Source organism: Homo sapiens, chromosome 4 (genome assembly GCF_000001405.40).
Source record: "Homo sapiens chromosome 4, GRCh38.p14 Primary Assembly".
NCBI classification, from domain to species: domain Eukaryota; kingdom Metazoa; phylum Chordata; class Mammalia; order Primates; family Hominidae; genus Homo; species Homo sapiens.
In genome coordinates, this window is record NC_000004.12 from 139,729,849 (window position 1) to 139,742,456 (window position 12,608).

General features: G+C 46.1%; 2 protein-coding genes across 7 annotated transcripts in view, besides 2 other annotated features; one reads left to right on the forward strand and one right to left on the reverse strand.

The window, feature by feature from the left end:
• Positions 1-12,608, forward strand: part of MGST2 (microsomal glutathione S-transferase 2) — an 88,800-nt gene that overhangs the window by 64,030 nt on the left and 12,162 nt on the right. For 2 of the 5 annotated variants that reach the window (NM_001204366.2, NM_001204367.2), the window contains one exon: positions 10,364-10,897. The exons of 1 other annotated variant lie outside the window; for it this stretch is intronic. The gene's annotated coding sequence lies outside the window, so the exon portion shown is untranslated. Of the gene's footprint in view, positions 1-426; positions 3,281-10,363; positions 12,037-12,608 lie in introns of those variants that run through there. 2 more of the 5 variants (XM_047415701.1, XM_017008212.3) reach the window with 2 other exon arrangements.
• MAML3 (mastermind like transcriptional coactivator 3) overlaps positions 1-12,608 on the reverse strand; it is a 437,432-nt gene that overhangs the window by 13,096 nt on the left and 411,728 nt on the right. For both annotated transcript variants that reach the window (XM_047415929.1, NM_018717.5), the window contains exon 3: positions 568-819. In XM_047415929.1, coding sequence (XP_047271885.1) covers positions 568-819 — 252 coding nt within the window. The remainder of the gene's footprint in view (positions 1-567; positions 820-12,608) is intronic.
• Positions 5,120-5,239: a silencer, noted in NCBI's record as "silent region_15707". NCBI's record gives its function as "represses an Ori minimal core promoter by ATAC-STARR-seq in GM12878 lymphoblastoid cells {active_cell/tissue: GM12878}" and the evidence as "EXISTENCE:reporter gene assay evidence [ECO:0000049][PMID:35858748]".
• Positions 10,598-11,098: an enhancer, noted in NCBI's record as "H3K4me1 hESC enhancer chr4:140661600-140662100 (GRCh37/hg19 assembly coordinates)". NCBI's record gives its function as "activates a minimal SCP1, AML or CMV promoter by ChIP-STARR-seq in primed H9 embryonic stem cells {active_cell/tissue: H9 hESC(primed)}" and the evidence as "EXISTENCE:reporter gene assay evidence [ECO:0000049][PMID:30033119]".

Below are 12,608 nucleotides of genomic sequence, written 5' to 3' on the forward strand. Positions count from 1 at the left end.
TAAAAGCTGTGGGGAGTTTTCTTAAGTTTGCACCCTGTGTGTGACCCAGAGTTCAGGTTTCCAGGTAGTTCTGCAGGCCTTATTATTCTGCTATTGTTCCTGATCCATTGTTCATTACCCATTCTATAGAATTCTTCTCAATTCCTCTTCCTGTCAATTTCCTCTAAGAAACAGAGTTCTCTGAATTATTATTTTTTTCTTCAAGCTAGAAATATTACGGCTTATGGAGCATGTGAGACAGTCCCCGCCATGTGCTGATTACACAGACCCCTGTACCAGAAATCAGAAGGAAAGGAGTCAGACTTGAATCAAAGAAATGTCTCTGGCACACAGGCCTTCAAATTGATGGCTGGAGCCTGTCTTTTAAGAACAAATTAATTCATTATAGGAAAAACCCTAACTAATTGAAAGGTCTAAATTCTTCAGGTTCTCTTGTGATCCTGGGAAATGCTAGACCGTGAGCATCTTGATGGAGGATGTGAACTGCCACTTCCTCACAGGCAGCAGGCAGGTGCTGAATAAGTGCTTGCTGAATGAATGAATGAATCACGCCAAGGGGCATGTTACCTGTTCCGCCAAAATCTGCTGCTGCTGCTGCTGCTGCTGCTGCCTTTGCTCCCGCAGGAACTGTTGCTTCTGCTGCTCTATCAACTGGGCCCGCTGATCAATGAGCATCTGCTTCATGATGGCTGCTTGGGGCTGGCTGCCCAGGAAGCCGGGGCCTGCGGGACTGGCTCCTGAGACCATGCCACCTGAGCCTGGGGGCACGGAGGACTGCATGGGGCCTGTGGTTCGGGGAAGTCCAACTGGATGCTGCTCCTGGGAAGACAAGAGAGAGGGAGATGCAGGGATTCCCCATAGAGACTCACTGCTGTTTGAAGGGAAGCCCCTGGAAAAAGGGAACGGGGCAGAAGTCCCAGCTTATGGACTGGAGGGTTTTTGAGTGGCACGCATTGCATTTCCATAAACGTAGCTTCAAACCCGACCTTACCTGAGTAGAATGAGAGAGGCCACAAGGGACAGTAAGAGAGCATGGCTCTGGGAAGTCCAAGGCCAAGTCCAGTCTGTTTCGGATGGGACTGACTATTGCATATAGACTGGATTTTCAACTAACATCCTGTGTTCCTCCAAGGAAAGGGAATAAGCCCTCAGGCTGAGCTCACCTAAAGTCTGGAACACGAGACACATCCTGACCTCACCTGTTAATCCTTATTTCTTACTGTCTACTTGGCCAAAATGGACGTCTTCTTTGCAAGTAGGAGGGACATTTGCAGAAAACTGCAGGAATTTGTTAATCAACAGATCTGATATTTGATGGAATTCTAACGAGTTGCAACATTTGAGAGCTTAGATATATGTCAGAAAGAAAAATCCTCCTGGCCAGAGTTGTTGATGGTGAGAACTGGGAATGTTTTACACCGATCAAAGCTATGTAATCTCCTAATATTTTTAAAAATAGAATTGAGTCGGCCGGGCGCGGTGTCTCACGCCTGTAATCCCAGTACTTTGGGAGGCCCAGTACTTTGGGTGGATCACGAGGTCAGTTCGAGACCAGCTTGGCCAAGATGGTGAAACCCTGTCTCTACTAAAAAAAAAAAAAAAAAAAAAAAAAAAAAAAAATTAGCCAGACATGGTGGTGGGCACCTGTAATCCCAGCTACTCGGGAAGCTAAGGCAGAGAATTGCTTGAACCCGGGAGGCGGAGGTTGCAGTGAGCCGAGGTCGCGCCACTGCTTTCCAGCCTGGGCGACAGAGTGAGACTCTTTCTCAAAAAAAAAGAATTGAGTCTTCTATGTCTGGGATAATTTAAACATGGGGTGTTGGATTGGGTCTCTTGATTCTATAATTATATGTCAGCCAGTCGAATGATGGCAACTTTTAAGGACTGGTCCTTAGGGAAGAGGAGGTCAAGTGGTAAAGACCTAATTCCACACAGCCCAGGTGACTACATGGAGAATGTGCTCAAAGGCGAAGTTTATGCTCTGAGCTGGACAGTGTAGACTATTAGGGGAAAACAGTGAATGGGAAGAAAAGGTGTGTGGCCCAGATTCAATTTCTAGACACTTCCTTTCCTATTTTTTCTACCAAGACTACCTAGCAGTGGCAAGTATGTTCTGAACATTCTGCAGAAATTCCTTCTACCTCACTGAAGTTTCAAGTAATTAATGTGAAATGGAGGAGTTGACACAGATTAAATGGGCACACATATAAGGACATTCACAGTCATTTTGTGAAGCACTATTATGAGACCTAAATAGCAAGAAGCAAATGTGAATAACTCTGTCATTTAAAAATTTTTAAATCCAAATTGGATTTTAACATTTTTCTTCTTTTTACTTTATTGCCTTTCCAATGCAGATACCGTTAAACATATTGGCAGTTTTTTCTCAAAGCAAATAGGTGAAGTTTCTCTCTGTCTCTCCTAGAGAGACCGTCCTGGATTTGATTCCCTATGGCTTGGGCTTGTGTTCCTCCCTTCCTTCTGTGGTGTGCTGTAGAACCATGCAGGCTTCCCTCTCCACTATGACTGACTTCAACTGCATCTTCAGTTGCTCTTCTTCCCTCCAAACAAAACAAAACAGCAAAGCAAACAAAAGCCAAACCAAACCAAAACGCTACTCCTCTTACCCTAGAAACAATCACCCAAGAAGCTCTGGTTTGTTCGTGCAGTAGCTTAGGTCACACAATCAATGAATGGAAGACACAGAACTAGCAGAACTAGAACGCTATTTTTTTTTTTTTTGTAACAGATAGCTTGTCTTTACTTTTTTAAAAAATGTAACTTAAAATTAAAAAAAAAATTTCCATAAGTTATCGGGGTACAGGTGGTATTTGGTTACATGAGTAAGCAGAACGCTGATTTTGATTCTCAATTCAGTATTCCTACTAGCTCAGGCCTCTCCCAGGCAGTGTCTTCATGGTGTTAAGTGTGCACCTAAGAACAGCCTGTAGACCTATATACTGTGTCTCTCATAAGTGTACTGCGTTCTATTTTTTATGTGTAAATGCTGTAGCTGAAATTAATAAAATGTTTTGCCTTTGTGTATTTTCTCTATAAATACACAAAGACAGCTAGGAAATATTTTTGATGTTAATAAAAAGATCTTACACTAAAAAATGCCAGGAACCTTTGTGCTACCAAAAAGTTTACTTCAGGACTAACCCTTGCAGGGGCCTAGATATTTCAGGGTCTTCCCTTTTCCCCCAAATATTTGCTACCTGTTTTCCAAGCCCTTCCTTCCAGTGAAATAAAGCTGTTTCTTGGCACCTTTAGGGACAAATGGCTGATTGGCTTTACACTTTAACAAATGAATTCACACTGACATATAAACAGCCAATCAGCAAAAATGCAGATATGTAGTTTGTTTTTTCTGTCTCAGTATATTTGATACTTTCCAGTTTTGATAAGGAGGAGAGAGTTGGAAAGAAAATGAGGCCCAAGGGAAGATAAAGTTTTCTTCAGCTTGATTTTTTGAGAGGGTTGGTCTGGGATGGCCCTGTTTATCTTTGTGCACTTTGAGATATGCTTGTCCTGTGTGACCAGCCCGCACAGCTGGGGAAGTGGTAAGGAGTGAAGAAGTGTTGCTTTCCCAGCCTCCTCTCCACTGGGAAAAGAAAGAGAGAGGCAAATGGGGTGACGACGATACATCAAACCACTTTTTGCCCGTGTCTTCCTGGGCCAAGAAGAAATACTTCAAAAGCACAGTGTGAAAAAAAAAAAAAAAAAACCCTCCCAAAGGGATAGGATTATGTATTTCCCCAAATAATTCCCTCCCAGAGGTTTTGCCTTCAGGCTTCTCACTGAAGACCTACAGGCAGGAAGGGCTGTATGTATTATTTTATGATTATTTTTTAGAGACAGGGTTTCACTCCGTTGCCCAGGCTGGGGTGCAGTGGTATGATCATAGCTCACTGCAACCTCCAACTCCTGGGCTCAAGCAATCTTCCTGCCTCAGCCTCCTGGGTAGGTGGGGGACTACAGGTTTAAGCCACCATGCCCTGCTAATTTTTAAATTCTTTGTATAGATGGGTTGTTGCCCATCTGTGTTGCCCAAGCTGGTCTTGAACTCCTGGCCTCAAACAATCCTCCTGCCTTGGCCTCCCAAAATGTTGGGATTACAAGCATGAGCCACTGCTCCCAGCCACTATGTGCATTCTTAAAGGACTGCCTTCCATACGAAACATCTTTAGTTCGCAACAAAGCTCTGCGGCATTCAACAGTGGATGAGAGACACCTACAGCCCCCGACTCTGAGGTGTATTCCAAAGTGTGAAAATGTACTCAGTGACTTGACTTACACATTAAGCTGGCCGAGGCCACTAACATAATACATGGCTTCTTTTAACCTCCAGTCTCAGAGGGCTTAATGAGAAATAGTCTGTCAAATTTCAGGATTTCAAGCCACTGCTCTTGTTTCTAAGAAGGACACACACTGTGTTGTGCAATTAGAGAAAACCAGGCTGAGCTTTCGTCATGCGAGATGTAATGCCTTGAAGCCAAATGATGCAGTATTTTTAGTTGTAATTACTGGCTTGTTCTCCAATCCACTCCTTGCCCAACGACCTCCCTTGCTTCTCCCAAGAATCTTAATACAGTTTCTTCCCCTCAAAAATCCAACTGTGGCTACATAGATCTTCACTACTCGCCCAACCCTCTGACTCTTCAGTAAAATAAAGGGAGGAGAAAGAAATCAAAACCAACGAACCTATTTTACATATCTTCCCCTCCAGGGAAAAGATCTTAGCAATTTTCTAAAGGCTAGAGTGAGGTAGGAGGTGTCAAAAGCACCCTTACCTCCCCCAAACAGGCAGTTTTCGACTTCAAAAAACAGTTGTGGTAAAAATATCTCCCAAGAACAGCCAGCTGTTTATTTATAAATCTGTGCGTAGGGAAGCTTTATTTTTCTGAAGTGTTTTCAAGAACATGCATAGTGTTTGGGTGAGAGGGGCCAGCCTTGCTGGCGGCGAACCAAAGAGCAGGGAATCACAAAAGACGGCCGGCGGCGAGCAGGCTGGGGTGACGGGGACCCCGTGGATAACGGGCTTGAGGACGCCCAGGGCTTCAGCCTTTTCCAGGCGTCCCTCGCCGGGGCAACGCAGAGCAGCTGCCGTTCTTCCCGCGCCCCAGCAGATGGTGGTGTCAGCCCGGCCTCGTGCCCGGCCGCCGCTGCGCCCGCGCCCCCTCCCCTCGCAGATGGCTTAATCAGGGCTCCCGCCCGCCCCTCCGCGGCCCCCGCCCCGCGCGTCTGGGCGAGCGCTGCGAACGTGGAGCCAGGCAGTCAAGTGTTACTGCGTACAGCAGGTAGCCTGGCAACTGAGAGCACAATACCGAGCAGATGGTGTTCGCACGGCGTGATGGACATCACACACGACAGCCTGAGACAATCCAGGAATTCCCTGGTGACTCGAGGCCCTCTTTGCACAAAATGAGTTCTCTCTCCATTGCCGTGTATCTCTGGGGTTATCTGCCCCCCTCCTCCGACTGACACTGAACTGGTTTCTCATTACCGACTTTTCTTCCAGCCGGAGGGGAGGAAGAATTCAAGTGGGGGAGGGCGCGGGAAGGGGACGTGGAGGGAAACGGAAGGGCTGGGAGTGGGGTAGGGGGGCAGTGGCGACCTCCGGGGGGGGAGGGTGGCGGACACCAGACCCCAGGGCCGACAGCCCGGGAGGGACCGGGTTCCAGGACCCCAGCTGCACAAAGCCGGCCCGGGGAGGGGGCGATAAGGAGCGAGCCTCGGGTCGGCCCGGCACCGCTGCTTCGGCTCAGAGTCCTTGCAATCGCTTGGCCTACGAACAACCTAAATGAAATTTAGGGTTTTATTGAAAAAGTCCCCTGGGGCCTAATTTAGCCTCTCGACTCCAGCCTATATGCTTACAAGTCCTCAGGGGACTCCGGCTAGGAAGTCAGGAGTGGGGCCCGTGCGTCCCCGGCAGGACCTAGACTGCCTCTCGGCGCAGGCGGCCCTAACAAAGAAGCCCACGAGGCGGTCCCGGGCGCGGGCAGGGGCGGTGCGGCGGCGCTCGGGAGACCCGCGAGGGGCCCTGGAGGTCCTCGGCCCGCGCGCGCCGCTCGGGAGCCCGCGAGGCTGCGGTGTGCTCCAGCGGGCGCATTTCCCAGGCCCCGCCACATCGTGTGTGTTAGTGGCTGGGAAGGACACGAGGACAGAGATGAGGATTGTTCGTGGCAGGAAAGAGTAAAAATAAATCAATGCATAAACAAAAAGGATGCCCCAGAAAACCTGTGCTTTTCAGACACACACACACATACACACACACTCACTCACTCACTCACTCTGAATTGGGTCAAGTAAAAAAAAATTTTTTTTAAAGGAAGGAATCTTTAGCCCAACTGGGATTTCGACGAAATTGTATATATCAAAAGATAGCTACATCCAACCTCTCACCAGAATCCAGAGGCTTTCTCCTGCAAAGATACTATTGAAAGTTTTATTAGTAAGTTTGAGAAGGCGAAAGTATGTATCAGAGGTGAAAGCTAACATGACAATTGCTTGGCCAAAGAGCGCAGCAGTTTTATGTTATTGAGCAGCACAGGATGAATCGAACACCCACGATGGCTAGACAGAGGCGCCTGGCTGTGACTCCCAGAGGTTCAGGCAAGCCATCTGACCTCTCTCAGTCCCCACCCCCTGAAATGAAAACCATACTCATAAGACTCCTTGACAATGGAAATTTTGGAGGTGACATAGTTAATGAAGTGTCATAGAAAGGAAATAGCTAAGAATACTCTAAAACCTCCCCATTCCCAGTATGGGCAATTTGGGAAAAATGAGTAACTAAAAATTAGGGGTTCTCAAAGTGTGGTTCCAGGATCAAATGCATTAGTCCCCACCTGGGAGCTTGTTAGAAATGCAAATTCCCAGGCTCCCCTCTAGGCCTCCTGAATTAGAACTTTTGGGGGTGTTTTAACAAGCTCTCCAGGTGGTTACGATGTCCCATAGAGAATCATTGGGGCAAATAATCCTGTGCCCTGATTAGATTGCAAAGCTGCACTTTCAAAAGCAAGTCAGGGTGCTGAGTTGCTTAGTTTCTATTGCAAAATTTCCTGCTTTGGAACAAAATTTTCAAAATTTTCAGAGGGTTGCTCAGGCCAGTGATGTTTGCAATGCAAACCCAAGAATTCTGAAAGGAGCCCATGGCTGAAAGGAGCCAATTCTTCCAGGACGGACTACTCCAGTTGCAACTGTGCTGTGGAGGCTGAGGAGCATCCATGACTGAGGAAGGGCGAGTCCCCTATAATGCCCTTGCTAAGGGGAGCATCAGACATCCCTAGACTTACAAGTCCCTCGTGTAATAAGGTGAACTATGGAAAGCTATGATTTGAGGAAAGTTCCCTCTGATTGAAAGAGTTCTTCAAATATGAAGAATGTAACACTTATGGGGCACCTACTCATTGCAAAACACTCTACTAGGGGCTTTCACCTGTATGTTTAACTCATTTTGTTGATTTTTTTTTTTTAAGCCCAAATTTCTGAGAGGTTAAGGAACTTGTCTGGTGGTGGCGTCTCTGGGATTCTGACTTTTCCACTGACCATAACATGCATCTGGTCTAAATTGAGCGGACCACCCAGGAGGATGTTGGAATAAAAAGAAATGGGAAGGGGGTGGGGAGAGGAATGGGCATAGAATAAAAAGGTAGAAACCCTTGGGATCAAAGGATGCAACTGAAAGAGCACCAAAATATGCATCATTTTTTTTAATATGTTGTCTGGTACCCAAAATTGGGATGCCTCTGTGGTATCAACTTTGACATTTAAAGAAAGGGCATAAGATTAGATCATTCAACCATAAGTGGAAGGAAGAAACAAAATAAAATAAAACCTTACAATTCCCTTTGAAGTTGATCAGGTGTCAAGGCAGTGATTTGGTTTTCTTTTACAAACTTTCTTTTTCCAGAAAAATTTTTACTGTGGGTTTGGAGAGGTGTTTACAATAAATTCATAGCAGAGCTCCAAAAGGGCCCACCCCATCTAATATCCTCTGTCTCAGCAGATTATTGAAGAAGATTGGATTAAAAGGTTTGTTTTGTGATGTGTGATGGTTGTGTCCCCAAGATGATTGAGTTTGAGGCAGAGTTCATCAATTTAGGAGGCTTATCACTGAAGCAGCAATAACTTGGGGCCCAATGCGAAGGCTGCTAAATGGGTCCAGCAAAGCTCTTGGTTCAGCTTCTAGAAAGGAACAGTGTACATTGGGGGAACCCCACAGGCCTGGGTAGAAACTCAGCTCCACCATGGGCCCAGTGACTGGCACATAACAAACAGCTTGTGGTTGTTATTCTTACTGCCGAAACCTCTTGATCATGCAGGGCATCCTTCAGGGTGAGGGAAGTGCTGTGTTTCTGGTGCTAGCTTTAGCTCCTAAAATAAAGGGGAACAAGACTTGTCATGGTCAGGCCAGGCATGGTGGCTCACGCCTGTAATCCCAGCACTTTGAGAGGCTAAGGCGGGTGGATCACCTGAGGTCAGGAGATCAAGACCAGCCTGGCCAACATGGTGAAACCCCATCTCTACTAAAATACAAAAATTAGCTGGGCTTGGTGGCGTGTGCCTGTAGTCCCAGTTACTCAGGAGGCTGAGGCAGGAGAATTGCTTGAACCTGGGAGGCGGAGGTTGCAGTGAGCCGAGATTGCACCACTGCACTCCAGCCTGGGCACAATACAGCGACACTCTGTCTCAAACAAACAAAAAAAAGGTCTTGGTCCCCATTATTTTAGGAGCTAAATGCTTAATTGATAGGGCAATTACTTAAAAAATATACATTTTGCCGATTCCTTCCTCTGCTGCCCAATTGCTGGGGAACATTTGAAAAACAATGCAGAAAAGTATAGATAGAAAAAAAGGTACAGAGAAAAAAAAATGCAGAAAAGTATAGATAGAAAAAAAGTATACAGAAAAAAGCTAACACTCATTTTTTACACTCAAAGGTAACCACTGTTAATATTTTGATGTGTTTTTATATTTCCTCCTAGTTTTATCCCAGATGCAATAACATATTTTTATGCTTATGATCATGGTATATACACAATTACACACACCTACTGATTCTTAACTAAGTAACATGGGAGAGGTAGAAGCTTCTAACTTTCCAAGTGCTTCCAAGTGATCATTTCCTGGCAGGATGATATCCTTATGGCATCCTTCCTGGCAAGGCTTTTAAGCTCCTTTGGGACCAAGACTATGAGTCTTCCCAGTATCCAGCACAGAGCTAGGGCCACAGCTGCAGCAAAATACAGATTTACTGAACTCAACTGACTAATTGGCTGGGATGAATTCTAGCCTAAACCAACATCAGGTATAACTGGAGATGACAAAATGATGGCCCTATAATGGACAGCTTCTCCGAGCTCCTGAGCTGACCCTCTGCTGAATGTTAAAGAAAGGGTTAAAGTTGGCAGTCCAGTGCTAAATGTGAGAATGCCACCAGCCACAGGAAGGTCAGCCTTTCAAGGCCCTTTTTTGCAGGGATAAAAGCAACAAAAATACCATTTGTCCTTATCAGTGCTTTGAACATAGTTACCATAAGTCCCTCCAATGGAAACACAACTTTGAGAGTTATGCTTTTCGTCTGCCTTTGATGTAAGTTATAGAGTCCTTTTGATCCCTTTCTTGTGATTAATTCCACCACCAAAGCAATTCTACATTGGTTAAAAGTTCATTAGTGTACAACAATAGAAGCTTGATTAAATAAATTATGGTACATCCATACCATGAATACTAGGCAGCCAATAAAAATCATGCCTCCTTAGACTATCTAATCACATAGGAAAAAGCTTACCATATATAGTTAAGAAAGGCAGGGGAGGAAAGCAGTTTTTTTTTTTTTTTCTTTTATGTCCTCAGGTGTTAAAACTAAAAAAAAAAAAAGAAAAAAGCAGTTTCTAAAAACACTAGCCACTGGATAGTCTTGTTAGACAAGAATTATAAGGGATTTTTATTTTTATACTTTTTCAAATTTTATATTATGAATATATATTACTTTTAGTATTATTTTTAAAAGCTTGTTAAGAATAAGGCTAAACTATTATGGAATGAAATGTAGAGTTCAAGAGGGGCCCAGGTTATGTCTGGGACCTGGACTATTTCTCCCTGAGCCCACCTTACGCTCTAGAGGGTGTAACAGACATGCTTAAGTGGCAGGTCCCCTTTTAAAACCTGTACATGGCTTCCACAACTGGGCTTGGATACAGGTTCAGCAACTAGGTCGGCTTTACATTGCTGCCACAAAGAGCTCCTAAGTCCCAGAGGAAGGGTACTGACCATCTTCCAAGAATTCTTTGGTCTACCTGGACAAGCCTGCTCTCTGTGGCACCACCCAGCTCTCTGTGGCTTTTCTCTGTCTTAGGCTTGAAGCCACAGTGCATGGCCAGAACCAGCCAGACCTTTGGAGTTCAAGAACTCGAGAGGTGGGTGAAAACTGCCATTGCCTCCACAGACTGTCTTCTCCGTGGAAAGAAGACCTGAGTCACCAGGGCTGGGAAACCTGCACCACTGAGACGAGCACAGCCTCTGCCGGCATGCAAGTGGCCGCTGTCAGGACACATGGACTGAAAGTGGTTTGTCAGCTGCTCCATTAGGTTTTTTTTACCCATATGTTTGCTACCTTTCTTTCCTTGATTTAAAAATAGGGAGGGGGAGCAGTCTCAGCTGTCTTCAGCTGCTAGGGAGATTTTTTTCCCCCTCCTGAGCTACTGTTTCCCCCAACCCGAGCCTTTCTCTCTTATTGTACCCACCCTTTCTGATGAAGTCATCAAAGCAAAGATTGCATAACTGATGCATAGGCCTATCTTGTGTTATACTGGGAGACAGGCCAATGTTTCCATTAATAGACAAGAGCACCACCACGCTGCCAAATGGAGCTCTCTGCTGCAACCACTACAAGACAGGAAGAAGGGAAGGGAAGGGAAGCTGAGTGCTCAGGGCATGCTGTGGAGGGAAGGCGAGGGCACTTCCCGCCGTCATCTCCAGAACCGCCACAGCCTTGGGAGGGGGGCTGAGAGAGATCAGTGCTGACTGCCTGAGAAGAGGCCTTCCACAAGCTGCCTTTCTGGTGTCCCCATGTTCTTCCTTCCTTCCTTCCAGAGGCCGTGAGAGGGAGGGCCCGTGTCAGCCTGCTCTGCCGGTTTCCCGACTGCTGAACCTGTCTGTGGGAAGCTGGGTTTGACTATGTGATGCTGAGGCTCTGAGAGGAGGGCTACCCTTTTCCCCACCCTCGGCCCCCATTCCTATGAGTAGAAGCCTGCCCAGCTGCGGTGGTGGGGTTTGAGGAGGCTAGGACTTAGAGCAGGGAAAAACAAGGAAGCAGAATGAAAAACAGAAACACTTAGAAATCTGGGATTGGTACTTCTCCTTATGTAAAGATTGTGGCTGACGACCAGCTTCTTAGAGGAAGCAAGTCTAGGAGAAGGGCTCATACCTGGTCCGTGAGGGCCTATGGGGGATCAGGGCATAAGACCACCTGACCCTGGGCCTTGCATCCACAAGAACCTTGAGTTTAGATTTTTAGACATATTCTTCGAACAAGGTTTTACATATATAGTCACTGAGAAATCCTGAGAGGATTGAAAAATAGCATCTATTTTACAGCTTTAAATTGTGCCCTGAGCTGAGCGTGGTGGCTCATGCCTGTAATCCCAGCACTTTGGGAGGCTGAGGTGGGAGGATTGCTTGAGTTCAGTTCAGGACCAGCCTGGGCAACAGCAAGACCTCATCTCTACTAAAAATAAAAAAATTAGCTGGGCATGGTGGTGTGCACCTGTAGTCCCAATTACTCAGGAGGCTGAGGTGGGAGGATCGCTTGAGCCTGGGAGGTTGAGGCTGCAGTGAGCTGTGATTGTGCCACTGCACTCCAGCTTGGGTGACAGAGTGAGACCCTGTCTCAAAAAAAATTCTGCCCTGTTATTAGATCGGGCTGCTCTAAGTCCATTATCAATTAACATTCTTTATATGTCCTGTGTTTATCTTGTGCACGGTATAATTGCCCTATGCTGTATTTTTTAAAATAAAAACATTGCATTTTTAAAACGCCCTATTGTCATTTCTTCATTTTGTAAATATACCTGGGCACTCCAAAAAATAGAAATGGCTCAGGTATTTTCTTAACCTTGAAAGACTTGGAGACACACGGGCATAAAAATAAGTTTTAGAAAGAATATAGCACTCAAAGAGGTCTAACACAGCCCTTGACTCCACGCCACACATACACATGGTAACCTGGATAAAGGAATCTGGAAACAATGAGAAATCATCCTCTCTACAGATCTTAAACTTTTCTTTTCTTTTCTTTTTTTTTTTTTTTTTGAGAGAGAGTCTCGCTCTGTCAGCCAGGCTGAAGTGCAGTGGCACAATCTCGGCTCACTGCAACCTCCGCCTCCCGGGCTCAAGCAATTCTTCTGCCTCAGCCTCCCTAGTAGCTGGGATTACAGGCGTGTGCCACCACGCCCGGCTAATTTTTGTATTTTTAGTAGAGGCAGGGTTTCACCGTGTTGGCCAGGCTGGTCTCAAACTCCTGACCCCAGGTAATCTGCCCGCCTTGGCCTCCCAAAGTGCTGGGACTACAGGCGAGAGCCACCGCACCTGGCCGTCTTAAA